The sequence below is a fragment of the Homo sapiens genome, chromosome 19, assembly GCF_000001405.40.
Source record: "Homo sapiens chromosome 19, GRCh38.p14 Primary Assembly".
Lineage (NCBI taxonomy): Eukaryota > Metazoa > Chordata > Mammalia > Primates > Hominidae > Homo > Homo sapiens.
The window spans coordinates 17,583,384-17,611,304 of NC_000019.10; the positions used below are offsets into that span (position 1 = coordinate 17,583,384).

The following is a 27,921-nucleotide window of genomic DNA, read 5'->3' on the forward strand; positions in this document are numbered from 1 at the left end:
CCCTCTCTATTAAAAGTACAAAAATTAGCCTAGTGTAGTGGGGCGGGGTGGCGGGGGGGGGGTACCTGTAATCCTCGCTACTTGGGAGGCTGAGGCAGGAGAATCGCTTGAACCTGGGAGGTGGAGGTTGCAGTGACCCAAGATTGAGCCACTGCCCTCCAGCCTGGGCGGCAGAGCAAGACACAATCAAACCAAAAAAAAAAAAAAAAAGCTGGCCAGTGGAGCTACTGTGGGGTGAGGGTGTGGTAAGAGCCCTGTGTCCCCTCATGCCATAAAACTTCCCCCAAACAGGCGGGGGACCGACAGCTCTGTCTTGAGTCAACTTCAGGATCCTTCCACATGACTTCGAATAAAGAGGGGCTGTCGTGCTTTGAGTCCCCCTAAAACAGACCTCAACATGAGGATTAGGGCTGGGCATGGTGGTTCACGCCTGTAATCCCAGCACTTTGGGAGGCCAAGGTGGGTGGATCACCTGAGGTCAGGAGTTCGAGACCAGCCTGATCAATAAGATGAAATCCCGTCTCTACTAAAAATGCAAAAAGCAGCCAGGCATGGTGGTGTGTGACAGTAGTCCCAGCTACTTGGGAGGCTGAGGCAGGAGAATCGCTTGAACGCAGGAGGTGGAGGTTGCAGTGAGCTGAAATCTTGCCACTGCACTCCAGCCTGGGCAACAGAATGAGACTCCATCTCAAAAAAAAAAAAGGATTAGGCTGGGTGAGGTGGCTCACTCCTATAATCCCAATGCTTTGGGAGGTTGAGGAGGTGAGAGGATTGCTTGAGGTCAGGAGCTCAAGACCAGCTTGGGCAACAGAGTGAGACCCTCGTCTCTACAAAAAAAATTGAGAAATTAGTTGGGCATGGTAGGGCACACCTGTAATCTGGCTACTCAGGAGGCTGAAGCAGGAGTATCTCTTGAGTCTAGGAGGTTGAGGCTGCAGTGAACCATGATCACACCACTGCACTCCAGCCTGGGCAACAGAGCAAGACCCTGTTTCTATAAAACAAAACCAGAAAACTTCCCTGAAATAGCCCAGGGACAGGTGGCCAACTTCATTCTATCTTGGATCAACCACAGGATCGTCGCAGATGACTTCAAATGAGGAGGGGCTGTCATGGTTTGGGTCCCCTGAAACAGACTCCAAGATGAGGATTGAAGGGCACTTACGTTATCAGTGACCCCAGGAACTTGCTGTGGAGCAGTAGGGAAGTGAGACAAGAAGGGAAAGAGTGGTCCCACCCCAGGGAGAGGGGGCTGGACATTACAACATGCCCAGTTGCATTTGGATTTTCTGGGTCAAATGCTTACAAATCCTCTGGATTATTACACCTTTAGGGTGTGCAAGAATATACCCGAGACTTTTATAAACTAACACAGGGGCCAGGCGCGGTGGCTCACACCTGTAATCCCAGCACTTTGGGAGGCCGAGGCTGGTGGATCATGAGGTCAGGAGTTCGAGACCAGCCTGGCCAATATGGTGAAACCCCGTCTCTACTAAAAATACAGAAAAATTAGCTGGGCATGGTGGTGAGCGCCTGTAGTCCCAGCTACTTGGAGGCTGAGGCAGAAGAATCACTTGAACCTGGGAGGCGGAGGTTGTAGTGAGCCGAGATCACGCCACTGCACTCCAGCCTGGGCGACAGAGCAACACTCTTGTCTCAAAAAACAAAAAACAAACAACAACAAAAAACCCTAACACTGATGGTGTTCAATCAGTGTGGAAAAAATCAGAACTTACAGCTAAGCAAATTGACAAAGCAAAAATTAAATCACACCTTTTCAGACACAACTAACATTTTCAAAAACTTTCCAGCCTTCCTTATTTGCATGGTGTAAATATATATGCATTTTTTAAAAAAGGAGGACCATGTTACCTAAGCTACTGCAACTTGCCGTTTTATTTTTCGTGGAATGCACTTTTATTTTCTAAGCATGGGATCAAACTGTACCTATTTTTTAAAAAACAACTTTTATTTTTAAATTTAACAACTATTGTGGACCTCCTTTCCAAAATAGGGTTAACATCTACGAGCTCTTTTTGGATTGTTATGGAAAATATTCCCTGCTGTTTCCTGCAGTGGATAGCATTATACAATACATCTTTCCTACTGGATTTTTTGTTTTTTTGTGTTTTTTTGTTTGTTTTGTTTTGCTTTTTGAGACGGAGTCACACTCTGTCACCCAGGCTGGAGAGCAGTGATACGATCTTGACTCACTGCAACCTCCGCCTCCTGGGTTCAAGCAATTCTCCTGCCTCAGCCTCCTGAGTAATAGATTACAGGCGCCCGCACCACACCTGGAGAATTTTTGTATTTTTAGTAGAGATGGGGTTTCACCATGTTGGCCAGGCTGGTCTTGAACTCCTGACTACAAGTGATCCACCCGCCTTGGCTCCCAAAGTGCTGGGATTGCAGGCGTGAGCCACTGCACCTGGCTTCCTACTGGATTTTAAAATTTCAGTTGGGTAAATTGAGACAGGTGGGATTCCTGGATTAACCTGGATGTGCACTTCAGGTTTCAGTAGAGGCTATCATATTCCTTTTTCTTATTGAATCCTAACTATTCATCATCTATTGGCCAGAGTGAATTATCCATGTTTATTAAACAGTCCCTTCTGTGAAACATTTTTTTTTCTTTGAGGCAGAGTCTCACTCTGTCGCCCAGGCTGGAGTGTAGTGGCATGATCTTGGCTCACTGCAACCTCCGCCCCCACCCTGGGTTCAAACAATTTTCCTGCCTCAGCCTCCCTAGTAGCTGGGATTACAGACGCCTGCCACAATGCCCGGCTAGTTTTTGTACTTTTAGTAGAAACAGGGTTTCACCATGTTGGCCAGGCTGGTCTCAAACTTCTGACCTCAGGTGGTCCTCCCGCTTCGGCCTCCCAAAGTGCTGGGATTACAGGCATGAGCCACCGCACCCAGCCCCTTCTGTGAAAGATTTTTTTCTCATGCTTTGCAGGGAAGTTTCTAAATCTTATTTAACCCAGTGAGGCTCAACCAGGAGTAATTTTGTTCTTCAGGGGACATTTGGCAATGTCCCCTAAACATCCTACAATGCTAACACCATCCTACATTGTACATCCTATGCAGGAGGATGCAGCTAAATATCCTACAATGGCCAGGACGCCCCACCATACAGAACGTTCCAGTCCAGAATGTTCATAGTGCTGAGACTAAGAATTCCTGTACCCGGCCAGGTATGGTGGCTCGTGCTTGTAATCCCAGCACTTTGGGAGGTTGAGGCAGGCAGATCACTTGACCCTAGGAGTTTGAGACCAGCCTGGGCAAAACCCTGTCTCTACAAAAAAATAGAAACACTTAGCCATGTGTGTTGTCACGTGTCTGTGCCCCCCAGCCTCGGGAGGCTGAAATGGGAGGATTGCTGGAGCCTACGAGGTTGAGGCTACAGTGAGCAGTGATTGTACCACTGCACTCCAGCCTGGGCTACAGAGCGAGACCCTGTCTCGAAAAAATAAAAATAAAAAAAGAATCCCTGTACCCAATTCCTTTCAGCCTCTTGGGGACATGAGTCTTTAGAAGGATCTTCTCTGTGGTACGAAGTGAAGCTTCCTTTACTATGAAATTTATCTGAATAAAGCATAGATTCGCAGGCTCTGCTCACAGACTAAAGGATTAGAACTTGGAGGTAGCTGGGTGCAGTGGCTCACACCTGTAATCCCAGCAATTTGGGAGGCCGAGGCGGGAGGATCACCTGAGGTCAGGAGTTCGAGACCAGCCTGACCAACATGGCAAAACCCTGTCTCTACTAAAAATACAAAAAAATTAGCTGGGCGTGGTGACGCATGCCTGTAATCCCAGCTACTTAGGAGGCCGAGACAGGAGAATCGCTTGAACTGGGGAGGCAGAGGTTGCAGTGAGCCGAGATCGTGCCATTGCACTCCAGCCTGGGCGCAAAACTCCATCTAAAAAAAAAAAAAAAAGAACTTGGAGGTGATGCCTGGGAATTAAATTTTATTTTGAAGGCCCCCAAACAGTTATGTAACTCTGGTGTTGCTTTTGACCTCTGCACCTTCAGGAGAACCTCATCCTTCCTTCTGGAACTTTCTAAATACACACACACACAATGTATACTTTTCTTGTCTTTGTAAAAATTTTATTATTACTATTTTCTGAGACAGGGTCTCGTTCTGTTGCCTAGGCTGGAGTCCAATGGTGCAATCATGGTTCACTGCAGCCTCAAGCTCCCAGGCTTAAGTGATCTTCCCACCTCAGCCTCCTAAGTAGCCAGGACTACAGACATGAGCCACTATGCCCAGCTAATTTTTTATTTTTTGTAGAGATGACGGTCTTGCTATGTTGCCCATCCTGGTCTCGAGCTCCTGGGCTGCAGCAATCCTCCCCGCTCAGCTTATCAAAATGCTGGAATTACAGGCATGAGCCACTGCACCTGGCACCTTTATTTTATGAATGCTATTTTTAATTGTAAAGTGATTCTTATTCATGGGGACACCCTTCAGTTGGTCTATTGGCTATTAGTTCCCTATTGCTACTCTAACACATTTCCACAAACTTAGTCGCTTAAAACAACATCAATGTATTCTTGTATGGTTTTGAAGGCCAGAATTCTGAAATCAGTTTCACTGGGCTAATGTCAAATCAAGCTGAGGCTGGGTGCGGTTGCTCACGCCTATAATCCCAGCACTTTGGAAGGCTGAGGTGGGTGGGTCACTTGAGGTCAGCAGTTCGAGACCAGCCTGGCCAATATGGGGAAATCCCATCTCTACTAAAAATACAAAAATTAGCTGGGCATGGTGGCACACACCTGTAGTCCCAGCTACTTGGGAGGCTGAGGCAGGAGAATTGAGGAGAACCCGGGAGGCGGAGGTGGCAGTGAGCTGAGATAGGGGCCATTGCACTCCAGCCTGGGCAACAGAGCAAGACTCTGTCTCAAAAAAAAAAAAAAAAAAAAATCAAGCTGGGTGCAGTGGCACACACCTGTAATCCCAGCTACCCTGTAATCCCAGCTACTCGGGAGGCCGAGGCAGGAGAATCGTTTGAGCCCAGGAGTTCAAGATCAGCCTGGGTAACATAGTGAGACCCCCATCTCTAAAAATAAATAAATAAGTAAAAATAAATTCAAGTCAGCAGGGTTGGTTTCTTCTGGAGGATCTAGGGGGGAATCCTTCTCTTTGTCTTTTCTGGCTTCTGAAACCCACTGGCATCTTTTTTGTTTTTTTTTAATTTTTTTGAGACTAAGTCCAGCTCTGTCACCCTGGCTGGAGTGCAGTGGCACGATCTCAGCTCACAGCAACCTCTGCTTCCCAGGTTCAAGTGATTGTCATGCCTCAGCCTCCCGAGTAGCTGGGATTACAGGCGCCCACCACCATGCCCAGCTAATTTTTGTATTTTTGATAGGGAGGGGGTTTCACCATTTTGGCCAGGCCGGTCTTGAACGCCTGACTTCAGGTGATTTTCCTGCCTTGGCCTCCCAAAGTGCTGGGATTACAGGCATGAACCACCATGCCCCATCCCCACTGGCATCTTTTTTTTTATGCTTTAAACAATTTTTTTTTTTAGAATTCAAAAGCAAACTCTGGATCCTGAGCTTAACTGTAATGGAGTAGATTACATTCCATTTATTTTTGTAAATTATTTTATTTTTTCATTGATGACTTAGAGGGACTATCTTCAAACCAGTACAAATATTTCATAGATAATACCTGGCCAATTTCTAACCAATTGAGTAATTTGTTGCATAATAAGCTACCTCAAGTCTTTCAGCAAGAAATACATTAAATTTGAATAGTGAAGACATTACACAATGAATTAGGACATAATTAAAATTTGCTTTAAATATTTCTTTGGTGGAGAGAACACCACACTTCTGCTCAATGAAGAGAAACATTTTCATACTCCAGAGGCATTTTATTTTATTTTATTTTATTTTTTTGAGACGGAGTCTCGCTGTGTCGCCCAGGCTGGAGTGCAGTGACGTGATCTCGGCTCACTACAACCTCCGCCTCCCGGGTTCAAGCAATGCTTCTGCCTCAGCCTCCCGAGTAGCTGAGACTACAGGCACCTGCCACCATGCCCGGCTCATTTCTGTACTTTTAGTAGAGACGGGGTGTCACCATATTGGTCAGGCTGGTCTCAACCTCCTGACCTTGTGATCTGCCTGCCTCGGCCTCCCAAAGTGCTGGGCTTACAGATGTGAGCCACCCTGCCTGGCCTTTTATTTTTTTGTTAACACCTATTATGTCATGAATTCATAGGGAAGAGGTTCCAGCAGCTAAGGCTCCTTCCCACTGGTTTTCACACAGTGTGCTTCTCTGGGTGGAGCAGGCTGGCGCTTCAGTTGAACCCAGGCACCTTTCTCTTTGGCTTCTTTCTTTTTCTGATCATTTTCCTTCATGCATTTCAGGAAGCTATCTCAGTTCTTAGAGTGCTTAATATGCTCAATACACACATCAATTCTCTTGGCAAGGATCTTGCCCTCGTTTGTTTACAACAATGCCAACAGCATGCTGGGGAACACTGTAGATTCTTCCAGTTTTGCCATGTTAACACTTGTGGAGCATTTCTTTTTGAACAGTACCTTCTCTTGATGTCTACAATATCACCTTTCTTATAGATTCACATATACGTGGCCAAAGGAACAACTTCATGTTTTCTAAAAAAGCCTAGAGAACATATATCGGGTGCCTCTCCTCTTTTCCTTTGTGTTTGTCATCTTGGCAAATTACTGGAAGATGGCGGTTCTGGCCGAAAAGCCCCACTGGTATCCTTTGCTTGTGGTCCCTTCTTGTGTCACTCCAAGTCACTCCAATCCTTTCAATGCTATGTATTCACCTAACCTCTTGTCTCCCTCTTCTAAGGACATTTGTGATTACATTTAGAGCCCATTCAGATGATCCAGGATAATCTTGCCATAATCTCAAAATCCTTGACTTAATCATATCTGCAGGGCTGGGCATGGTGGCACGTGCCTGTAGTCCCAGCTGTGAAAGAGGCTGTGGTGTGCAGTAGGATTGCTTGAGCCCAGGAGTTTGAGGCTGCAGTGAGCTATGATTGCACCTCTGCACTCCAGCCTGGGCAGCAGGGCAAGATCTTGCCAAAAAAAAAAAAAAAGAAAAGAAAAGAAAAGAAAAATCACATCTGCATCTACAAAATTCCTTTTGCCATTTAAAGTAACATCCATAGGGCCAGGTGCAGTAGCTCATGCCTGTAATCCCAGCACTTTGGGAGGCTGAGGTGGGTGGAACACCTGAGGTCAGGAGTTCAAGACCAGCCTGGCCAACATGGTAAAACACCATCTCTACTAAAAATATAAAAATTAGCTGGGTATGGTGGCAGGCGCCTATAATCCCAGCTACTTAGGAGGCCGAGGCAGGAGAATCGCTTGCACCCAGGAAGTGGAGGTTGCAGTAAGCTGAGATCGCGCCACTGCACTCCAGCCTGGGCAACAAGAGTGAAACTCCGTCTCAAATAAATAAAGTAACATCCACAGGTTCTGAGCAATAGATGTGGATATCTCTCGGGGGACATTATTTAGCCTATTGCTACAGTATCCTTTGGAGAGGCTGAGATTGTGTCTTGCTCTATGGATGTGTCAGTCATATGATACATAGTTATGTATCATAGTACAGTGTATCAGTCATGGATCAAGGTGGGAAAACAGAAATCACTTGAGGTCTTTTAACAGAAAGGGGTTTCATATAGGAAATTGACAATGACTCCATGCTGCCATTGCAGCCTGAAAAACAACCACAGGCAATACATAAATGAATGAGCTTGGCTGTGTGCCAATAAAACTTTATTTGCAAAAACCAGTGTGGAGTCAGATTTGGCCTGGGGGCTGAAGTTTGCCATCTCTGGGTACAAAGGATCAGGACTGAGTCTGGTCCTACAGAGATGACCTTGAAGAAGTGGCTTTCCAAAGCGCCCCGAGGTTGTCACTGAACAGAGGAATGCTAAAACCTCAACTGTTTCCACATCTGGCTGCTGGCAGAGTGAAGGGGAAGGAAAACCAAGACGACTCAAGTCCCTTTTGTTTTCCAGACTCCCAGAGGTGCATCTGGCAGGTGAACTTGGGCAGACACCCTGAGTCTGCCCAGCCACAGGGAGATCTGCCTGTGTAGCTGGGGCTTTGGAATGGGGTGGGACAGGGGCGGATGCTGATGTCAACCTGCCATGGATGGCTTATTAGCGTAGGTTACAATGATGATAGGGACGACGGTGTAACTGTAGGATGCATAATCATCGTCACTATTACATGTAATTGCAGGATTTGGAGCAGAGTAATTATCATGCAATATAATCAATTATATAATGAAATGTAATCTCAGACAGATCATCAACGACATAATTGTGTTATGCCCTCCAGGAAATGGAATATGCCTCTTTTTGAAGTTCCCGGGTGGTTCTGCCAGGATGGCTGGTGGTGGGAGAAGAAGGCAAGAGCCAAATGGGGTTAGGATGAGAGGGACAGTGATTGGGGTGGGGGTGTTTCAGGTGACAGTGGAAGGATAGTGATGGGCGTGAGAATAGTGTGAGAGTTTAGTCTGAGGTTGAGAGAAGTGAGGAGATGCAGGCGAATAAGTTGAAGAACAATGAGGTCAGGTTAGGGATTAGCAAACTGGATGAGGGCCAAATCTGACATCTGACTTTTTTTTTTTTTTGAAACGGAGTTTCACTCTTGTCGCCCAGGCTGGAGTGCAATGGCGCGATCTTGGCTCACTGCAACCTCTGCCTCCCGCATTCAAGCGATTCTCCTGCCTAGCCTCTGGAGTAGCTGGGATTACAGGTGTGTGCCACCATGCCCGGCTAATTTTTGTATTTTTAGTAAAGATGGGGTTTCACCATGTTGTCCAGGCTGGTCTCGAACTCCTGACCTCAGGTGATCCACCCGCCCCGGCCTCTTAAAGTGCTGGGATTACGGGCGTGAGCCACCACTCCTGGCCTCAAATCTGACTTGTTTTAAAAAAAATTTGGCAGGGCTGGGCACCGTGGCTCATGCCTGTAATCCCAGCACTTTGGGACTCACCTGAGGTCAGGAGTTCGAGACCAGCCTGACCAACATGGTGCAACCCTGCCTCTAATAAAAATACAAAAATTAGTCGGGCGTGGTGGCACACACCTGTAATCACAGGTACTCAGGAGGGTGAGGCAGGAGAATCACTTGAACCCAGGAGGCAGAGGTTGTGGTGAGCGGAGATCGTGCCACTGTGCTCCAGCCTGGGCGATAGAGCGAGTCTCCCTCTTAAAACAAGCAAACAAATAAAACAAACAAACAAAACCCCAAAAATTATTTGGCTGAACACGGAATCTGGAAAAAAAAATTTTTAAATTGAGGTAAGAATCAGACAACATAAAATTAACCAGATTAAAATGTCCAATTTGGTGGAATTTAGCACATTTGCAATGTCACACGACCATCACCTTTATCAATTTCCAGAACATTTTCATCCCCCTAAAAGGAGATCTCGTTTCTATCAGCAGTCACTCTCCACTCCCTCTCCCCCAGCCCCTGGCACCACCAATCTGCTTCCTGTCTCTATGTGTTCCCGGAAAGGGGTCCTGATCAAGACCCCAAGAGAGGGTTCTTGGATCTTGTGCAAGAAAGAAGTCAGGGAGGCCGGGCGCGGTGGCTCACGCCTGTAATCCCAGCACTTTGGGAGGCTGAGGTGGGCGGATCACGAGGTCAGGAGATTGAGACCATCCTGGCTAACGCAGTGAAACCCCGTCTCTGCTAAAAATACAAAAAAATTAGCCGGGTGTAGTGGCGGGCACCTGTAGTCCCAGCTACTCGGGAGGCTGAGGCAGGAGAATGGCATGAACCCAGGAGGCAGAGCTTGCAGTGAGCCGAGATTGCGCCACTGAGCTCCAGCCTGGGCAACAGAGCCAGACTCTGTCTCAAAAAAAAAAAAAAAAAAAAAAGAAAGAAGTCAGGGTGAGTCCATAGAGTAAGTGAAAGCAAGTTTATTAGGAAAGTAAAGGAATAAAGAATGGCTACTCCAGGCCAGACACAGTGGCTCACGCCTATAATCCTAGCACTTTGGGAAGCCAAGGTGGGTGGATCACGAGGTCAGGAGACTGAGACCATCCTGGCTAACACGGTGAAACCCTGTCTCTACTGAAAATACAAAAAATTAGCTGGGCATGGTGGTGAGCGCCTGTAGTCCCAGCTACTCGGGAGGCTGAGGCAGGAGAATGGCATGAACCCAGTGTCAGGCCTCTGAGCCCAAGCTAAGCCATCATATCCCCTGTGACCTGCATGTACACATCCAGATGGCCGGTTCCTGCCTTAACTGATGACATTGTCTTGTGAAATTCCTTCTCCTGGCTCATCCTGGCTCAAAAGCTCCCCTACTGAGCACCTTGTGACCCCCACTCTGCCCGCCAGAGAACAACCCCCCTTTGACTGTAATTTTCCTTTATCTACCCAAATCCTATAAAATGGCCCCACCCTTATCTCCCTTCAAGGACTCTCTTTTCAGACTCAGCCCACCTGCACCCAGGTGATTAAAAGCTTTATTGCTCACACAAAGCCTGTTTGGTGGTCTCTTCACACAGACACGCATGAAATTTGGTGCCGTGACTCAGATCGGGGGACCTTCCTTGGGAGATCAATCCCCTGTCCTCCTGTTCTTTGTTCCATAAGAAAGATCCACCTACGACCTCGGGTCCTCAGACCGACCAGCCCAAGAAACATCTCACCAATTTCAAATCCAGTAAGCGGCCTATTTTCACTCTCTTCTCCAACCTCCCTCACTATCCCTCAACCTCTTTCTCCTTTCAATATTGGCGCCACACTTCAATCTCTCCCTTCTCTTAATTTCAATTCCTTTCATTTTCTGGTAAAGACAAAGGAGACATGTTTTATCTGTGGACCCAAAACTCTGGCACCGGTCACGGACTAGGAAGGCAGCCTTCCCTTGGTGTTTAATCATTGCAAGAACGCCTCTCTGATTATTCACCCACATTTCAGAGGTGTCAGACCATGCAGGGATGCTTGCCTTGGTCCTTCACCCTTAGCGGCAAGTCCCGCTTTTCTAAGGGGCAAGAATCCCCAATCCCTTATTTCCATGCCCCAACCTCTTATCTCTGTGCCTCGATCCCTTATTTCCATGCCCCGACCTCTTATCTCTGCGCCCCATCCCTTATTTCCGTGCCCTGACCTCTTATCTCTGTGCCCCAACCCCTTATTTTTGCACCCTGACCCCTTTCTGGCTTTTCTGGAAGGTAAGAACCCCCAAACCCCTTCCCTCTGTGTCTCTACTCTCTCTTTTCTCTGGGCTTGCCTCCTTCACTATAGGCAACCTTCCATGCTCCACTCCTCCATCTCCCTTAGCCTGTGCTCTCAAGAACTTAAAACCTCTTTGACTCACACCTGACCTAAAACCTAAATGCCTTGTTTTCTTCTGCAATGCTGCTTGACCCCAATACAAACTCAACAGTGGTTCCAAATAGCCAGAAAACGGCACTTTCAATTTTTCCATCCTGCAAGATCTAAATAATTCTTGTCGTAAAATAGGCAAACAGTCTGAGGTGCCTGACGTCCAGGCATTCTTTTACACATCGGTCCCTCCCTAGTCTCTGTGCCCAGTGCAACTCGTCCCAAGTCTTCCTTCTTTCCGTCTCTCCTGTCCCCTCAGTCCCATCCCCAAGCGTCCCTGAGTCTTTCTAATCTTCCTTTTCTACAGACCCATCTGACCTCTCCCCTCCTCCCCAGGCTGCTGCTCACCAGGCCGAGCTAGGTCCCAATTCTTCCTCAGCCTCCGCTCCTCCACCTTGTAATCTTTTTATCACCTCCCCTCCTCACACCCGGTCCAGTTTATAGTTTCATTCCGTGACTAGCCCTCCCCCACCTGCCCAGCAATTTCCTCTTAAAAAGGTGGCTGAAGCTAAAGGCATAGTCAAGGTTAATGCTCCTTTTTCTTTATCCGACCTCTCCCAAATCAGTTAGCATTTAGACTCTTTCATCAAACATGAAAAACCCAGCCCAGTTCGTGGCTCGTTCGGCAGCAACCCTGAGACGCTTTACAGCCCCAAACCCTAAGAGGTCAAAAGGCTGTCTTATTCTCAATATACATTTTATTACCCAATCCACTCCTGACATTAAATAAAACCCCAAAAATTAAACTCCGGCCCTCAAACCCCACAACAGGACTTAATTAACCTCACCTTCAAGGTGTACAATAATAAAGTAGAGGCAGCCAAGTAGCAATGTATTTCTGAGCTGCAGTTCCTTGCCTCCACTGTGAGACAAACCCCAGCCACATCTCCAGCACAAAAGAACTCCAAACGCCTGAACCGCAGTGGCCAGGGATTCCTCCAGAACCTCCTCCACCAGGAGCTTGCTACAAGTGCCGGAAATCTGGCCACTGGGCCAAGGAATGCCCGCAGCCCAGGATTCCTCCTAAGCCGTATCCCATCTGTGTGGGACCCCACTGAAAATCGGACTGTTCAACTCACCTGGCAGTCACTCCCAGAGCCCCTGGAACTCTGGCCCAAGGCTCTCTGACTCCTTCCCAGATCTTCTCGGCTTAGTGGCTGAAGACTGACACTGCCCGATCACCTCGGAAGCCCCCTAGACCATCACGGACACCGAGCTTCAGGTAACTCTCACTGTGGAGGGTAAGCCCATCCCCTTCTTAATCAATATGGAGGCTACTCACTCCACATTACCTTCTTTTCAAGGGCCTGTTTCCCTTGCCTCCATAACTGTTGTGGGTATTGATGGCCAAGCTTCTAAACCCCTTAAAACTCCCCGACTCTGGTGCCAACTTAAGACAATACTCTTTTATGCACTCCTTTTTAGTTATCCCCACCTGCTCAGTTCCCTTATTAGGCCGAGACACTTTAACTAAATTATCTGCTTCCCTGACTATTCCTAGGTGACAGCCACACCACATTGCCACCTTTTCCCCCAGTTCAAAGCCTCCTTCACATCCTCCCCTTGTATCTCCCCACCTTAACCCACAAGTATAAGACACCTCTACTCCCTCCTTAGCGACCGATCATGCACCCCTTACCATCCCATTAAAACCTAATCACCCTTACCCCGATCAATGCCAATATCCCATCCCACAGCACACTTTGAAAGGATTAAAACCTGTTATCATTCTCCTGTTACAGCATGGCCTTTTAAAGCCTATAAACCCTCCTTACCATTCCCTCATTTTACCTGTCCTAAAACCAGACGATGCTTACAGGTTAGTTCAGGATCTGCGCCTTATCAACCAAATTGTTTTGCCTATCCACCCCGTGGTGCCAAACCCATATACTCTCCTATCCTCAATACCTCCCTCTACAACCCATTATTCTGTTCTGGATCTCAAACATGCTTTCTTTACTATTCCTTTGCACCCTTAATCCCAGCCTCTCTTCGCTCTCACTTGGACTGACCCTGACACCCATTAGGCTCAGCAAATTACCTAGGCTGTACTGCCGCAAGGCTTCACAGACAGCCCCCATTACTTCAATCAAGCCCAAATTTCATCCTCATCTGTTACCTATCTCGGCATAATTCTCATAAAAACACACGTGCTCTCCCTGCTGATCGTGTCTGATTAATCTCCCAAACCTCAATCCCTTACAAAACAACAACTTTCCTTCCTAGGCATGGTTAGTGCAGTCAGAATTCTTACACAAGAGCCAGGACCGCACCCTGTAGCGTTTCTGTCCAAACAACTTGACCTTACTGTTTTAGCCTAGCCCTCATGTCTGCGTGCAGCGGCTGCCACTGCTTTAATACATTTAGAGGCCCTAAAAATCACAAACTATACTTAACTCACTCTCTACATTTCTCATAACTTCCAAAATCTATTTGCTTCCTCATACCTGACGCATATGCTTTCTGCTCCCCGGCTCCTTCAGCTGTACTCACTCTTTGTTAAGTCCCACAATTACCATTGTTCCTGGCCCGGACTTCAATCTGGCCTCCCACATTATTCCTGATACCACACCTGACCTCCATGACTGTATCTCTCTGATCCACCTGACATTCACCCCATTTCCCGATATTTCCTTCTTTCCTTTTCCTCACCCTGATCACGCTTGATTTATTGATGGCAGTTCCACCAGGCCTAATCGCCACACACCAGCAAAGGCAGGCTATGCTATAGTACAAGCCACTAGTCCGCCTCTTAGAATCTCTCATTTCCTTTCCATCGTGGAAATCTGTCCTCAAGGAAATCACTTCTCAGTGTTCCATCTGCTATTCTACTACTCCTCAGGGATTATTCAGGCCCCCTCGCTTCCCTACACATCAAGCTCGAGGATTTGCCCCACTCAGGACTGGCAAATTAGCTTTACTCAACATGCCCCGAGTCAGATAACTAAAATACCTCTTAGTCTAGGTAGACACTTTCACTGGATAGGTAGAGGCCTTTCCTACAGGGTCTGAGAAGGCCACCGCTGTCATTTCTTCCCCTCTGTCAGACATAATTCCTCAGTTTAGCCTTCCCACCTCTATACAGTCTGATAACAGACCAGCCTTTATTAGTCAAATCAGCCAAGCAGTTTTTCAGGCTCTTGGTATTCAGTGAAATCTTTATATCCCTTACAGTCCTCCATCTTCAGGAAAAGTAGAACGGACTAAAGGTCTTTTAAAAACACACCTCACCAAGCTCAGCCACCAACTTAAAAAGGACGGACAATACTTTTACCACTTTCCCTTCTCAGAAGTCAGACCTGTCCTCAGAATGCTACAGGGTACAGCCCATTTGAGCTCCTGTATAGATGCTCCTTTTTCTTCACATGGACGCCCATGAAACCCGGGAGGTGGAGCTTGCAGTGAGCCGAAACCGCGCCACTGCACTCCGGCCTGGGTGACAGAGCAAGACTCCATCTCAAAAAAAAAAAAAAAAAAAAAGAATGGCTACTCCATAGACAGAGCAGCCCCAAGGCTGCTGGTTGCCCATTGTTATGGTTATTTCTTGATGATATGCTAAAGGAAGGGTAGATTATTCATGCCTTGCGTTTTTAGACCAAATAGGGTAACTTCCTGATGTTGCCATGGTATTTGTAAACTGTCATGGTGATGGGGGGAGTGTAGCAGTGAGGATGACCAGAGGTCACTCTTGTCGCCATCTTGGTTTTGGTGGGTTTGGGCCAGCTTCTATTATTGCTGTTGTTGTTGAGACGGAGTCTTGCTCTGTCGCCCAGGCTGCAGTGCAGTGGCGCGATCTCGGCTCTCTGCAAGCTCTGCCTCCTGGGTTCACGCCATTCTCCTGCCTCAGCCTCCCGAGTAGCTGGGACTACAGGCGCCCACCACCATGCCCGGCTAATTTTTTGTATTTTTAGTAGAGACGGGGTTTCCTTCCTTTTTTTTTTTTTTTTTTTGAGATGGAGTTTCACTCTTCTCACCCAGGCTGGAGTGCAATGGCAGGATCTCGGCTCACTGTAACCTCTGCCTCCCAGGTTCAAATGATTCTCCAGCCTCAGCCTCCCGAGTAGCCGGGATTACAAGCACTTGCCACCATGCCCGGCTAATTTTGTATTTTTAGTACAGACAGGGTTTCACCATGTTGGCCAGGCTGGTCTTGAACTCCTGACCTCAGGTGATCCACTCGCCTCAGCCTCCCAAAGTGCTAGGATTACAGGCGTGAGCCACCGCGCCCGGCCACTTCCTTCCTTTTTATGGCTGAATCATATTCATTGTATGAATAGACAACATGTTGTGTTTATCCATTCATTTGTTGGTGGACACTTGAGTTGTTTCCACCTTTTGGCTATTGTGAATAGCGCTATTCTGAACACGTCCAAGGGTTTGTTTGAATATATCCGCTTGATTTTCTAAATAAAGTTTTATTGGCATGCAGTCACGCCCATCATTTGCATGTTGTCAAGGTTACAATGGCCGAGTTGGTTGCAACAGAGACAGCATAGTACACACAGCAAATCTATTTACTAGCTCGCCCTTTACAGAAAATTTTGTTGACCCCTGTATTGATCATGACCAAAATGAGTCTGGGAATTGGGTTGGGTTGCAGAAACTTTACATTAGGCCTGGATGACCATTCTCCTCTCCTTCTACCTGTCCAGAACAAAGGGGTTACATTTCCCAGCAAGCAGTCTTGAGCCTCAGTCCCCAAGCCCCATTGGTAACACGATGGGTCCCACACACTGAAGGACAAGACTTGAGACCCTTTTGTAGCGAGGGGCAAATAGATCCACATCAGTCACAGTGCGTAGCCTATGCACTTGGGTACAGAAACAGCTAATGAGCAGGGGCACTCAAGGACCTGCAGGCTGCCTCTGCAGACATCATGCAGACAGCTGCGGTTTGTCCCCTTTTCCCAGCTATATGCTATTCTTTGAGAAGATACCACACCCCCACGTGCAAGTTTCTCAAAGGAGAAAAGTCCCCCAGGAGCGGGATTGCTGCGTGCTGGATAACTCCTGGTGTAAGCCACTTTCTGGCCCCACTTTTAGTCCTGCTGTCTGTTACTTGCAACCAAAAGCACTCACTGAACCCACTCCTGGTGGTGGATCCCGCAGCTCCCGTCCTGTCCGCTCAAATGTAGAAATAACCCCAGACATAAGGAGGGGAATTTCGGAATTTACCGAGGAAACTGGGCTGAATGAGATTCCATTTCTGCTTCCTCGTGGGATGGAGACTCAAAACAGAAATTAAATTCAGCTGTTGGAAAATGGAGTTTCATTCCTCACACATCTGAGTTTATGAAATGAGATTCCCAGCTGCTACTTTTTTTTCTTTTTTTTTTTTTGAGATGGAGTCTCGCTCCGTCACCCAGGCTGGAATGCAGTGGCGTGATCTTGGCTCACTGCAAGCTCCGCCTCCCCAGTTCACACCATTCTCCTGCCTCAGCCTCCCGAGTAGCTGGAACTACAGGTGCCTGCCACCGTGCCCGGCTAATTTTTGGTACTTTTAGTAGAGACGGGGTTTCACCGTGTTAGCCAGGATGGTCTCGATCTCCTGACCTCGTGATCCACCCGCCTCGGCCTCCTAAAGTGCTGGGATTACAGGCGTGAGCCACTGCGCCTGGCCCCAGCTGCTACATTTAAAACAGACATGGCCAGGCACAGTGGCTCACGCCTGTAATCCCAACACTTTGGAGGGCTGAGGAGAGAGGATTGCCCAAAGTGAGGAGTTCGAGAGCAGTCTGGGCAACATGGCGACATCCTATCACTACAAAAAATACACAAATTAGCCAGGTGTGGTGGTGCACACTACTCAGGAGGCTGAGGTGGGAGGATCACCTGAGCCTGGGAGGTTGAGGATGCAGTGAGTTGAGATTGTGACACTGAACTCCATCCTGGGTGACAGAGCAAGACCCTGTCTCAAAAACAAACAAACAAGAAGATCCCAAAAAACCCAACAAAACCAAACAAGCATGGGGGTGTGGGTTGAATTAAGGGCATGTATTCCTAGTGTTTGTATCTTAACTTCCTTAAGGGCAACAGATGGCCGGGTGCGGTGGCTCACGCCTGTAATCCCAGCACTTTGGGAGGCCGAGGGAGTGGATCACCTGAGGTCAGGGGTTCGCGACCAGCCTGGCCAACATGGTGAAATCCTATCTCTACTAAAAATACAAAAATTAGCCAGGCAAGGTGGCGGGCGCCTGTAATCCCAGCTACTCAGGAGGCTAAGGCAGGAGAATCGCTTGAATCTGGGAGGTGGAGATTGCAGTGAGCTGAGATTGCACCACTGCATTCCAGCCTGGGCAACAGAGACTTCATCTCAAAAAAAAAAAAAAAAAGCAATGGTTGCAAATGTTCTGAGTTCAAGTCCCAGCTCCATCTCTTCCTGGCTATGTGATCTGAGCAAGATCTTGTCTCTCTGTACTTCAGTTTCCTTCTCTGTAAAATGGGGATGACTCCAGTTGCGGATGAGCCGCGTTCATGGGCAAGCAGTGTGTTCTACTGAGTCTGCGCCTACCTAGTAGGTGCTAATCGTACGTGAGGTTTTTGTTTTTGTTTTTTTGCTGATAAAGGAATGCAAGGAGGAGGCAACCACGTGTCCAAGGCTGTGTGTGGTTTTTCTTTTTTTAATGTCTGCTGTTAATAAAATATTTTTACAGAGACCAAAAAGTCAGAATAGTGCAAAACATCTCAACACCATGCATTCATGACCACTTCTCGTTTGTGTTAAACATTTGTTCCAAGTCACATATTTACAGAGAAATGAAGGCGTCTGTGCAGACACTGGACCGACGGGGTAGAATCAAAACAAAACAAAAAACAAACAACGTTTTGATTTCACATCTGCAATCACATGCTAAGAGTTGTGTGGAGGGGAAGCCTCCCCGGACTGCTTGGCCGGTTTGTGGGGGTCTGAGGGAGCACGAGACAGGGGTGGACAGGGGTCAAGTCCCCCTGGCTGTGTGGTTGGGGATGATCAGGGGACCCTCCGCCTGTGACCTGTGTCTCCAGAGAGCCACTATGGCTGGACGGGGGTAAGGGGTGGGGTGTTACTTGACACAGTCAACTTGATTTTTCTCTGAAACAATAAAAGGCAAAGAGAAAAGCAACACGTGTCAGCAAAGACAACTTTGGTCCTCAACGATTCTTAGGAAAGGATTCTGGGGAGCAGACGGGGTTGTGATCCGGGACTAAGGCCCTCCCCCAACTTCCCCAGGGTGGCAGAGTTCCGGGAGGCCCCAGGTTGTCCCCATCTGCAAAATCGACAGCACATGGGGTAGGGGTAGGGGACAGAAAGGCTCTGAGATCCCAGCCGAGAGAGGTCCCAAGGATTTCTAGTTGGGTGTTTAGTTTTTTGCATCTCTGATGGGGGCATGGTGAGGTCTCAGGCTCTGGGGCCTGAGAGAGGAATTGGGGGTGTGGACAGGCACCTCCTCATTTTATGCAAATCATTCGAGGACAGACTGGTAAGAGTGAACAGATCCTTCTTTCTTCAGGACACCCTCTTTACTTCCCCCGACACTCCCTGCCTTGGTCTCTGCATTTATCTTTCTCTGTATATTTCCACCTCTATGTCTCTCTCCATCTCTGTCTCTCTCCGTCCTCATCGGGGCGTGATCTCACCCTCTGTCTCTGTGTTTTCTACTCTATTCCTCTTGGTCAGGGGACTTTGACTCTGAGGCATCCCTCAATGTCACCCCTTTAACCCTTGCCCTGCCACAGGCCAACCTTCTTGTGCTGTTTCCCCGATTCATGGAAATGTGGGGCCAGCTCCTTGCATAAAGCGAGGTCCAGGGTTCAGAACCCTGGAGGTGTCATCCAAGGCCGGGCTCTGTGTCCACTTGCTGGGTGGCGTTGAGGAAAGCCCTGCTCCTCTCTGGGCTTTGTTCTGCCAATACAGGAACTTCCTGATTTCAAAAGGCTTTCAGCCCCCTGGACTCCTTGTCTTTTCTCTGTCCGTGTCTCAGCCATGTCCACTCTCTGTCCCATGTGTCAGGCTCAGACACCTCCTATGTGCCCAGGTCCGTGTGGAAGGGGAAGGTTGGTACGGACAGACATGGACAGACATGCATGCGGATGTGTATTCTCACACTGACCCTGCCCCAATACATAATTCCACTAGGCGTAGACTCCCTGTCACCCACTTGTGCCCAGCCTGTGCTAGGTAAAGTTGGGGGTCCTGAGAGTCCTCAGACCCCAGTCTGGGAGAAACAGAGCTGGACAGAGAAACCCCCAGTCCCATGGCATCAGGCTGGACTGGAGGAGAGACGGTGGCTGGGAAAGTCCTGAGGGGAAGGAAGGAGGGTTTTCTCCAAGAGGGGTTTCCGTGATGGGTTTTGAAGGACGAATAGGAGTTCTCTGGGGGAAAGAAAAGAGGGTGGAAATTGCAAAAACAGTTCTAGCCTGGGAGTCAGGAAAACTCATTCAACAAATATTCCCTGAAGAAGCTTGTTTCCTTCACATGCCTGGGCCATTGCTGGGGAACCCTAAACACACACACACACACACGGAGGTCTTGAACAGAAAGACTCCTAAGGAATCTTTTGGGAAATAACTTGGCTCTCTCAGGCAGCTCGACTTCCCCATTTCTTTCCAGCCATCCAAAAATCTTCCAGATCACCCTCACCCCAGGTCACAGATCACTTCCCCTTTGGGCTCTATGGGTTACAACCCTGAATCATCCATCCACCCGACCCCTACCCTCAGCCATGTCATGGTTCGAAATTCACATCTGCTCCTCAGTCCATATAACAGTCACATAAGCTTATCCCTGGCTACAACTTCCCAACCCTGTATGAGAATTTGCATTTTAACCTTTGGTTCAGAACCTCCAGTTACCTGCACCTGTCTGAATTTAAGGGACATGCAACATCTCCAAGCAAATTAGAAAGTGGCGCCACTTCTTCCAGACACTTGGGCCATTCACATGTCGGGAAACCAACGTCACAAACATACAACACTCAATATCTAGGATTTGCACGTGGCCTTCTTAGCAATGCCAAACCCTTGGGCACTGTGCAACTGGGACAACTGTACTCAGCAGCCCTAGAGCTCATCTAAGGGCAGGATTTTTTTTTTTTTTTGGTGGGGTAGAGGGGAGGGAATGGAGTATTGTTCTGTTGCCCAGGCTGGAGTGCAGTTGTGTGATCACGACTCACTACAACCTCTGCCTCCAGGGTTCAAACAATTCTCCCGCCTCAGTCTCCTGAGTAGCTGGGACTACAGGCATGCACCACTGCACCCAGCTAATTTTTGTATTTTTAGCAGAGATGGGGTTTCGCCATGTTGGCCAGGCTGGTCTCAAACTCCTGACCTTAAGTGATCTGCCAGCCTCGGTCTCCCCAAATGCTGGGATTATAGTCATGTCCCCACAGCTATAGGTGTCTTTTCAACACAGCCTTCAGAATCTTTCCAAGAATCCATTTCAGTGTCCCCAAAGCACCTCCACCTCTCCTCACTGGTTTTAGTCTTCACAAAACAGCTTTTGCAGGCTGGAATCCAGTCTCTCCCCAACTTAAAACAGCTCCTGGAGCTCCCCAACTGTCTTAGAATAAAAGTAAAACTCCTCAGGACTGCGTACGAGGCCCTGCCTGGTCTGATGCTTCTGCAGATCTCCCCAACCCCAAGGCTCCTCACGATCCCCCTTGCTGGCTCAGCTCCAGCCGTGCCACCCTTCTCGTTGTTTCAACAGTTCTTCTCTCCTGGCCTTCGCACGTGCTGTTCCCCAGGCCTGGAGCTCTTTTCTCTCTAGTAAGTGGTTCCCTCTCATTCTTCACCTCGGAAAGCCTCCCCATCTGATGTTCTATCCTCCAGAAACCCAGCTACTCAGCTCACCCCGTTTTCATTTCTCCCTAGCACAGCAAAATCTTGTCCTTCCCAATCCAGCAGAAAAAGGCGTGCCATACACACATGTGGAAAAGCAGATCCCAGAGCAAGTGTAGTCCACGCTGAACTTTCCCCTAAGGTCCTATGTGCACCAGGTAACTCCAGCCAGGTCACTGTAACTTTGCTCATTGGAGAAAGAGCTTCCAGCTGGCAAGAGGGCCATCTGAGGTATCCTGTGGCTTGGGTGTTTGAATCAATGAATAGGCTCTTGGAGACTAAGCTCTCACTGTGTCACTGTGTTTGTGTTTCTCTCTCTCTCATTCTCTTTCTCTCATTCTCTTTCTCCCCCCTAGAGTTTCTGGTCTCCTTCTGTTCTTTCCTATTTGGAAAATTCTGGAAAAGGAAGAAGGGATGGAGAAACCTGGGACCAGGGGATCCCAAATTCTCTTTTGTGGTGGGAGGCCCTCATGGCATCCCCCATGGAGATCCCAGGAGAAAGGGCTGAGGGCAAAGGTCCTGCTTGGCAGCCGGAGAAGGAAAGGCGAAGTAGGGGTCTTGGCCTGGAATTCCCACCCCTTGGAGGAGGCCGAGGGGGAATTAGCAGCAATAGGGAGCTGTGTCAGGTCATCCCGATCTCAGCCCACCCTTCCATGGGGCACACAGGCCTAAGGGAGGGGCACAGAGGGTATGGCACCTGGAACCTTGGCCAAGTCTCAAGCAGCTCTTTAAGCCTCAGTTTTGCCATCTGTCAAATGGGTGTGTTGAACTCTATGATATGAGGACTGGGTTTGTTGGGGGAGAGGGAGAGGCAAACTCCCAAAGGGAAGTAGGGGCAGCGTGGGGAACCAGAGCCGTCCCCTCGGCCCCCAGGGTTTGGGCGCCCAAGGGCGCATGTGCTTTTGAAATCCCATCCTCCCCCCTCCCCCCATTTATTTTTTGCACAAATATCTAAAGGGACTCCGGTATTCCGGGGCCCTCCAACCAGCATCCTGGTCCCTCCAGTCCCCAGGCCACCTAGAGGGGCGCTCCAGAGAGCCCTACCCCTTGCCCAGGGCCCCCCCTCGAGGGAGCTGAGATTTCCATACTTGGCAATTGGTCTGGGGTCCCAGGGGTCTGGGTCCCATCTTATGGCTTTTCCAGGGGACATGAGGTGGTGCCTCCCGGTACCAGAGCCCCGGGATGTGGCCTCCTCCATAGGGACGAGGTTTCCCCCATCCCAGCTCAAAATGCCCCCTAGGTGCTGGGGGCGTGGCCTCAAGTTGGGGATGTGGCTCCTTCCTTCGTCGCGCCCTTGGGCGTGGCCTCCCGAGAGGGCGGGGCATCCTCCATTCCTAATTCCCCAAAAGGGAAAGCTGAGTCAAGGGCGTAGGCGCAGCCCACCCTTGGCGTGGAGCCCCCCGAGCCCCGCCCCTGGGGAGGTCCCACCAAGGCGCAAGCCCCGTCCCTCCCCGCCCAGCGCCCTCCGCGCAGGCGCAGTGCCGCTCGGCCGACCGCCCGCGCTAAGGCGCAGGCGCGGCACCGCCCTCCTCGGCGGAGCGCGTGTCCGACTTGAGCTTCACGAACTCCTTGGCCACCTCGTCGTTGCTGCGCTGCGAGAGGATTCGCAGCACCGTGAGGCCCGTGTCGTCCATGTGGATGCGGCGGCCGAGCGGCAGCCAGCAGGCGGCGCTCCCGCGCTGGGCCAGCTCACGCAGCTGCAGCACGGCCAGCCCCACCGTGCGGTCCTCGCGCGCGAAGCAGTAGTCCTTGACGCACACCTGCAGCTCATAGCACTCGGGACCCGCGTCGGCGCTCAGCGTGCTGCGTGGGGAGGGGCGGAACGTGAGACAGGCCACACCTACTGTGATGCCCCGCCCACGGCCCCGTCCCCACCGCATTTGCGGGCCACGCCCACACCGGGGTGCCCACACCTGTCACCTCCCACGCTACGCTAGCCCCGCCCCTGCCCCGTTACTTGACCTACAACCCTGTGCTTGGCCGCGCCCACAGCAGCTGACCCCGAGCTGGGCCACGCCCACGCCTGTTCTTCCCATTTTTCCACCCACCGAAAAATGACCGCATAGTTTTACATCCAGCTCCCGCCCCTCAGACACCGCCCTGCAAGGCCATGCTCCCACCCTGAGATACCCGCGCCTGTGCCCTCTGCCGGCTGAACTGCTGCCCGCACGGCCCTGCCCCTAATGTCCCACCCAGAAGCTCTTTAACCAGGCTCTCCTCTAGACCCACGACGTGGCCCTTTCCCCAGCCCCCCACACCCCCAGCCCACCCCTCTTACTTCCAAGATGCCCTCCAGACATGAGCCTGCCCTGGTGCCTCACCATGGGTGACACCGCCTCCCGCATGCCCCTCACCTGTGCTCCTGCCCCTAAGCAGTCCCAGTGACCTGCCCTGACGCCAGCTGGATAAGAGCCCCTCCTACAGGGTCACGCCCAGCTTCTCCCTCTTGTCCACCTCCCAGGTTGTACCTCTATCCCTGAAGTACTCCGGCCCACCCTGGCTGACATCTGACCTCCCACTAGACCATGCTTCTCCTCCTGAGTATCCCCTAAAGGGGCCAATCGCCCCAAAACCTTCTGACCAAGAGCCCTGTGCTGACACGACATGGAACTGGCTTCAATCTTGTCCCATAAGAGCTCCCAGGCCCCCTAGATAATACCAGCTAACCAGCTCTGATTTACCCTTACCCCTGTGCATTTTTATTTATTTTTATTTATTTTTATTTTTTGAGTGGGCATCTCCCTCTGTCACCCAGGCTGGAGTGCAGTGGCACAATCGCGGCTCACTGCAACCTCTGTCTCCCGGGTTCAAACGATTCTTCTGCCTCAGCCTCCCTAGTAGCTGGGATTACAGGCATGCACCACCACACCGGGCTGATTTTTTGTGTTTTTAGTACAGATGGGGGTGGCGGGGGGGGGGGTCTCACCATGTTGGCCACGCTGGTCTCGAACTCCTAACCTCAGGTGATCCACTGCCTTGGCCTCCCAAAGTGTTGGAATTACAAGCGTCAGCCACCGCGCCTGGCCCATAGTTTTTTGTTTTTTTAAAGACAGGGTCTCGCTATGTCGGTCACCCAGGCTGGAGTGCAGTGGCACAATCATAGCTCATTGCAGCCTTAAACTCCTGAGCTCAAGCGATCTTCCTGCCCCAGCCTCCCAGGTAGCTGGGACTACTTTCTTCTGCACTTCTGTCTCCTAAGAACATCCAACAACATTGCCCTGCCCCAGTGCTCTGTGAGGCTGACACTCGACCCAAGGATCTACCCCGGATGACCCCAACTCTACCCTTGCTAACCACCACCATCCATCTACCCCCGTGAACAGACTTTTTTTTTTTTTTTTTTTTTGAGGCAGAGTCTTGCTCTGTCGCCCAGGCTGGAGTGCCGTGGTACAATCATGGCTCACTGCAACCTGTGCCTCCTGGGTTCAAGCGATTCTCGTACCCCTCACCCTCTGGAGTAGCTGGGATTACAAGCGCCTGCCACCACACCCGGCTAATTTCTGTATTTTTTATTTTTTTGAGTCTCACTCTGTAGCCCAGGCTGGACTGCAGTAGCGCCATCTTGGGTCATTGCAGCCTCCACCTCCTGGGTTCAAGCGATTCTCCTGTCTCAGCCTCCCGCGTAGCTGGGATTACAGGCGCCCACCACAACACACAGCTAATATTTTTTGTATATACTATATTATATACAATATATAATATATGAAATATATAATATATATACTTTTATATATAATATAATATATACTATATATAATTTTATTTATACTATATAATATATACTATATATAATTTTATATATAATATAAATATATATTATATATGTATATAAATATATATATATTTATATATAATATATAAAAATATATTTATATGATATATATTTATTATATATTATATAATATAATATAAATACATATTTTATATATAATTATATAATATAAATACATATTTTATATATAATTATATAATATATATTTCTTTTAGACGGAGTCTTGCTCTGTTGCCCAGGCTGGAGTGCAGTGGTGCGATCTCGGCTCACTGCAAGCTCTGCCTCCCGGGTTCACGCCATTCTCCTGCCTCAGCCTCCCGAGTAGCTGGGACTACAGGCGCCCGCCACCACGCCTGGCTAGGTTTTGTATTTTTAGTAGAGACGGGGTTTCACCGTGTTAGCCAGGATGGTCTCGATCTCCTGACCTCGTGATCTGCCCGCCTTGGCCTCCCAAAGTGCTGGGATTACAGGTGTGAGCCACCACACCCAGCCATATTTTATATTTTTAATAGAGATGGAGTTTCACCATGTTGGCCAGGCTGGTCTCGAACTCCTGGCCTCAAGTTATCTGCCCACCTTGGCCTCCCAAAGTGTTGAGCTTACAGGCGTGAGCCACCATGCTCGGCCAGAGCAGACTTTTTTTTTTTTTTTGAGGTGGAGTTTCGCTTTTGTTGCCCAGGCTGGAGTGCAATGGCTCGATCTTGGCTCACTGCACCCTCCGCCTCCCGGACTCAAGCGATTCTTCTGCCTCAGCATCCCGAGTAGCTGGGATCACAGGCGTGCGCCACCACACCCGGCTAATTTTTTTTTTTTTTTTTGTATTTTTAGTAGAGACGGGGTTTCACCATGTTGGCCAGGCTGGTCTTGAACTCCTGACCTCAGGTGATCTGTCTGCCTCGGCGTCCCAGAGTGCTGGGATGACAGGTGTGAGCCACCACACTCGGCCAGAGCAGACTTTTTTATGCTGTCCACATCATCAGCATCCTCTAGACCCTATCCTGATACCCGCAGCCTAGGCCCACTCCCAACTCCAAGAACCTCCATCCAATGTGACCCCACCTCCACCCCACGTGACACCCACCCCCAAGCCTGGGATCCATCTACACTCCACTCCTGTCCCCAGAGCCGACTCCTCCAGATGGGCTGCCCCAACGGTCCTGACAAGGCTCAATGTAGACTCCAGTAGTCCCCACCCCCATGCAACCTCAGTCCTGTCCCCAGGTCCCTCAGCCCCCCGCTCATAAGCGTCATCACTGCCACCCTCATTCCTTCACCAGACAGAGTCTCCAGCCCCAGCAATGGCCCTGCCCACCATGCACTTCCTGCCCAGACTTTCCCTCCCCTCTGCAAGTCTTCATCATGAAGTTACCCCACTCTACTCATTGCCTCCCCTTGGATCTGCCAGCCCCCAAAGGTGACCTCCATCCTCGTGTCCCCTCCCTGATGTCATTCCTGCACTACTAAGGGGTCTCCCTTTCCAGCACCCCCACCTAGAATGTGGCCCCTCCCATTCCCGGGCCCAGATTCCAGATACCTCCTGCCTAGCTGGCTTTGGGGTTCACCTGGCGGATGCCCCCTCCCTTGCCCCCATGCTCTTCAAAGCATCCCAAACTCACAACTGGAAGCTCTCATTGTACTTGGGAGCCCAGCTATTGTTCTTGGATTTGGTCGCAAACTTGCGTTTCTTGTCGCTGAGCTGGGGCCCAATGATGTTGACCTCGATGAACGGCCGGAAGATGCCAGAAGTCTGCCACTTGAGGTCATTGGCAGCCACCACTGTTGGAGGAAGTAGAGGGTAAGACAGGTCAGGTTCTCCCAGTTGGAAAAAGTAGATGTTTGTGGCTCTCAAAACCTGCCCAAGGCTGGGCGCAGTGGCTCACGCTTGTAATCCCACCACTTCGGGAGGCCAAGGCGGGTGGATCACTTGAGTCCAGGAGTTTGAGACCAGCCTGGGCAACATGGTGAAACCCTGTCTCTACGAAAAATACAAAAATCAGCTGGGCGTGGTGGCACGCGCCTGTAGTCCCACATACTTGTGGGGCTAAAGCAGGAGGATTGCTTGAGCCTGGGTGGCGGCAGTTGCAGTGAGCTGAGATTGTGCCACTGCACTCCAGCCTGTGTGACAAAGCAAGATCCTGTCTAAAAAAAATAAAAAATAAAAACACCCCACCCCTCGCCCGCCGCCAAAAACCCTGTCTGAAATAAAGACTACATTTCCCAGCATTGCCATGAAGCTAAGTGTGGTCATATGACTATGTTTTGGCCAATGAGGTGAGAGAAAAAAATCACGTGTACTACTTCTCCACTGTGGCTTAAAAGGCAGGGAGTGAACCCCAAACTTTCTCCTTCCTCTAGCCGCAGTCTGCAATGCTTGTGGGGGCTGAGCTCTTTGTGACCCTATAGTGGAGGAAAAACACATTTGGGTCCAGGTATGGTGGCTCACGTCTGGAATCCCAGCACTTTGGGAGGCCCAGGTGGGAGGACTGCTTGAGGCCAGGAGTTTGAGACCAGCCTGGATACCATAGTGAGACACCATCTCTACAAAAATATAATTTAAAAAGTAGCCAGGTGTGATGCTGCATGCCTGCAATCCCAGCGACTCCGGAAGCTGAGGCAGGAGGATCGCTAGAGCCCAGGAGTTTGAGGCTGCAGTGTGCTGTGATTGCACCACAGCGCTCCAACCTGGGCAACAGAGTGAGACTCTGGCCTCTAAAACAAACAAACAACAACAACAACACATTAGGGATGAAAATGCAACAAAAGATGGCAGCAGCACAGATCACCAACACTGCGAAGCCTCCATATCAGCTCGAGGCTGGTTGCTACTTAAACTGTTATCCCAGAGAAAAACCAATTCTATCATTTTTGTTTGTTTGTTTACATGGAGTCTCACTCTGTCACCCAGGCTGGAGTGCAGTGGCGCAATCTCAGCTCACTGCAAACTCCACCTCCCGGGTTCAAGCGATCCTCCCACCTCAGCC

General features: G+C 49.6%; 1 protein-coding gene and 1 pseudogene across 7 annotated transcripts in view, besides 6 other annotated features; both read right to left on the reverse strand.

Annotated features, from left to right (window-relative positions):
* Positions 6,187 to 6,726, reverse strand: RPL21P130 (ribosomal protein L21 pseudogene 130; annotated as a pseudogene).
* Positions 15,150 to 15,731: an enhancer, noted in NCBI's record as "NANOG-H3K27ac-H3K4me1 hESC enhancer chr19:17709342-17709923 (GRCh37/hg19 assembly coordinates)". NCBI's record gives its function as "activates a minimal SCP1, AML or CMV promoter by ChIP-STARR-seq in naive H9 embryonic stem cells {active_cell/tissue: H9 hESC(naive)}" and the evidence as "EXISTENCE:reporter gene assay evidence [ECO:0000049][PMID:30033119]".
* UNC13A (unc-13 homolog A) overlaps positions 17,953 to 27,921 on the reverse strand; it is an 87,019-nt gene continuing 77,050 nt past the window's right edge. For all 7 annotated transcript variants that reach the window (XM_011527810.3, NM_001387022.1, NM_001387023.1 and 4 more), the window contains 2 exons: positions 26,557 to 26,716; positions 17,953 to 22,971 (listed from right to left, as the gene is read on the reverse strand). In XM_011527810.3, the coding sequence (XP_011526112.1) occupies positions 22,671 to 22,971; positions 26,557 to 26,716 (461 nt within the window). In that variant the 3' untranslated portion in view covers positions 17,953 to 22,670. The remainder of the gene's footprint in view (positions 22,972 to 26,556; positions 26,717 to 27,921) is intronic.
* Positions 21,534 to 22,438: an enhancer, noted in NCBI's record as "H3K27ac-H3K4me1 hESC enhancer chr19:17715726-17716630 (GRCh37/hg19 assembly coordinates)". NCBI's record gives its function as "activates a minimal SCP1, AML or CMV promoter by ChIP-STARR-seq in primed H9 embryonic stem cells {active_cell/tissue: H9 hESC(primed)}" and the evidence as "EXISTENCE:reporter gene assay evidence [ECO:0000049][PMID:30033119]".
* Positions 22,428 to 22,687: a silencer, noted in NCBI's record as "silent region_10356". NCBI's record gives its function as "represses an Ori minimal core promoter by ATAC-STARR-seq in GM12878 lymphoblastoid cells {active_cell/tissue: GM12878}" and the evidence as "EXISTENCE:reporter gene assay evidence [ECO:0000049][PMID:35858748]".
* Positions 22,428 to 23,343: a biological region, named in NCBI's record as "H3K27ac-H3K4me1 hESC enhancer GRCh37_chr19:17716631-17717535".
* Positions 22,439 to 23,343: an enhancer, noted in NCBI's record as "H3K27ac-H3K4me1 hESC enhancer chr19:17716631-17717535 (GRCh37/hg19 assembly coordinates)". NCBI's record gives its function as "activates a minimal SCP1, AML or CMV promoter by ChIP-STARR-seq in naive H9 embryonic stem cells {active_cell/tissue: H9 hESC(naive)}" and the evidence as "EXISTENCE:reporter gene assay evidence [ECO:0000049][PMID:30033119]".
* Positions 23,058 to 23,277: a silencer, noted in NCBI's record as "silent region_10357". NCBI's record gives its function as "represses an Ori minimal core promoter by ATAC-STARR-seq in GM12878 lymphoblastoid cells {active_cell/tissue: GM12878}" and the evidence as "EXISTENCE:reporter gene assay evidence [ECO:0000049][PMID:35858748]".